The sequence below is a fragment of the Homo sapiens genome, chromosome 11 (genome assembly GCF_000001405.40).
Source record: "Homo sapiens chromosome 11, GRCh38.p14 Primary Assembly".
In the NCBI taxonomy this organism is placed as follows: Eukaryota; Metazoa; Chordata; class Mammalia; order Primates; family Hominidae; genus Homo; species Homo sapiens.
In genome coordinates this window covers 29249293-29252072 of record NC_000011.10, presented here as the reverse complement: position 1 = coordinate 29252072, position 2780 = coordinate 29249293, and the positions used below count along the sequence as shown (strand labels likewise).

Here is a 2780-nt window from a genome sequence, read left to right as displayed (position 1 = left end):
TAATTGGCTCATGGTTCTGCAGGCTGTACAGGAGGCATGGCTATGGAGGCACCAGGAAACTTACAATCATGTCATAAGGCAAAGGGGAAGTGAGCACATCATCACATGGAAATAGGAGAGACAGAGAGAGAGAGCACAAGAGCGCGTGAAGGGGGAAGTGAAACACACTTTTAAACAACCAGATCTTGTGAGAACTCACTCACTATAATGAGAACAGCAAGGGGATATCCGACCCCATGATAAAATCATCTCTCACTAGGTCCCTCCCCCAACACTTGGGATTACAATTCAACATGAGGTTTGAGTGGGGACAGAGAGCCAAACCATAACACCATCCATTTCTTTTGTGCATCTCAAATTGGACTAATTATTTGATCACGTTTTTAAACCAAAGTATAAACCCAACCCATCTTTTAGAATGGTAGATCATATCCAAATCAGCAATATTAGTTCTAGATTAGATATAATTTTAGTCATAATACGTTAAATTCCTTTCTCCATGTTCTAGCCCAGTCATCTTGGTTCAATTTCTTAACCTCATTAAGCTTCAGTTTTGTCTTCTATGATTGGCACAACATATAGTGCATACTTAACAGAATACTTTAAAGATTAATTGAGAAATGGACACAAAGCTCAGAGTACAACACTTGGCACATAACAGATATTCAAATATTGGTTTTGTTGCTGTTTTTGTTTTTCATTAATTTGGTCCTAGTAATAGAATAAGATTTGTTTTTAAATAGTTTATTTTTTAGAGCAGTTTTAGGTTCATAGTAAAATGTAGTAGAATGTACAGAGACTTCCCATATTTCCCCTGTCCCTACACATGCACAGCCTCCCCATTATCAAATTTCCTAACAGGGTAGTACAATCTTTACAAATAATGAAACTACATTGACACATCTTTATCACCCAAAGTCCAAAGCTTACATTAAGGTTTATCCATGGTGTTGTACACTACGGGTTTAGACAAATGTATCCACCATTATAGTATCATACAGAGTAGTTTCACTGCCCTAAAAATTTTCTGTGCTCTGCCTATTCATTCTTCCCTCCTTCCTAATTCCTGGCAATCACTGGTCTTTTTAACCATCTCCATAGTTTCACCTATTGCAGAATGTCATACAGTTTGAAATCATATAATATGTGGTCTTCCCAATTTATCTTCTTTGACTTAGTAAGATGCATTTAAATTTATTCCACATCTTTTTATGGTTTGATAGCTCACTTTCTTTAAGCACTGAATAATTGTGTGGATATATCACAGTTTATTTGTACATTCATCAACTTAAGGACAACTTGGTTGCTTCCAGGATTTGGCAATTATGAATAAAGTGTCTACAAACATTCATGTGCAAGTTTTTACATGGACATAAGGTTTTACCTCCTTTGGTAAATATTGAGGAGCACAATTGCTGTATTGTATGATAAGAGCATGTTTAGTTTTGTAAGATACTGCGATACTGTCTTCCAAAGTCATTGCACCATTTTGTATTCCTTCCAGCAATGAATGAGAGTTCCTATTGTTCCACATCCTTGCCGTATTTGTTGTCCATGTTCTGGATATTGGCCATTGTAATAGGTATGCAGTGATATACATTGTTGCTTTAATTTACATTTCTCTGATGGCATATGATGTAGAGAATATTTTCATATGCTTATTTGCCGTTGTATTTCTTATTGGGTAAGGTGCCTATTTAGACTTTTGGCCCATTTTACAAATCCGATTTTCTTATTGTTGAGTTTTAAGAGTTTCTATATTTTGGATAACAGGCCTTAATTATATATATGTTTTGGAAATATTTTCTCCTAGCCTGTGTCTTCTCTTTCAGTGTCTTGACAGTGTCTATTGTGGAGCATATTTTTAAAAAATAATAAAATGCAGCTTATCATTTTTTCATGGATTGCTTCTTTGGTGCTGTACCTAAAAATTTGTTACAAAACCCTAGGTCATCTAGATTTTCTCCCATGTTATCTTCTAGGAGTTTCATAGTTTTATATTTTATGTTTAGGTCTGTGATCTATTTTGAGTTAATTTTTGTGAAGGGATTAAGGTCTTTGTCTAGATTCACTCTTTTCTTTCTTTTTATGCATATGGAAATACAGTTGTCAATCATCATTTGTCAAAAAAGACTATCTTTTCAACACTGCATTGCCCTCGTTCATTTGTCAAGGATCAGTTGACTACATAAATACGGATCTATTTCTGGACAGTTTATTCTGCTCCATTATTCTATTTGTCTGTTCTTCTGACAATACATACTGTCTTGATTACTGTAGATTTATAGTAAATCTTGAAGTGAGGTAGTGTCAGTCTTTCAACTTTGTTCTTCTTTTTCAATATTGTGTTGGCTATTCTGGGTCTTTTTCTTTATATATAAACTACAGACTTGGTTTATCAATATCCACAAGATAACTTGCTGAAATATTTTTTGGAATTGCAATGACTCTGTAGATAAAGTTGGGCAGGATTGGCATCTTGACACTACTATCTTCCGAACCACAAACATGGGATATCTCTCATTTTATTTCATTAGCGCTTGATTCATTTCAGAGTTTTGCAGTTTTCCTCATATAGAACTGGTCTATCTTTTGTTATACTTAAGTGTTTTAGTTTTTTTATGATCATATAAATGGTATGGCATTTTAATTTCAACTTCCACTTGTGCATTTTTAGTAAGAAAGACATTCACTTTTATGTATAATCTTGTCTCCTGCAACCTAGCTATAATAATTCATTAATTCCAGGAGTTTTTTGTGAATTTATTCAGGTATTCTAC

At 34.2% G+C, this 2780-nt stretch overlaps 1 annotated feature.

Moving 5' to 3' along the window:
• Positions 246-295: an enhancer, noted in NCBI's record as "active region_4552". NCBI's record gives its function as "activates an Ori minimal core promoter by ATAC-STARR-seq in GM12878 lymphoblastoid cells {active_cell/tissue: GM12878}" and the evidence as "EXISTENCE:reporter gene assay evidence [ECO:0000049][PMID:35858748]".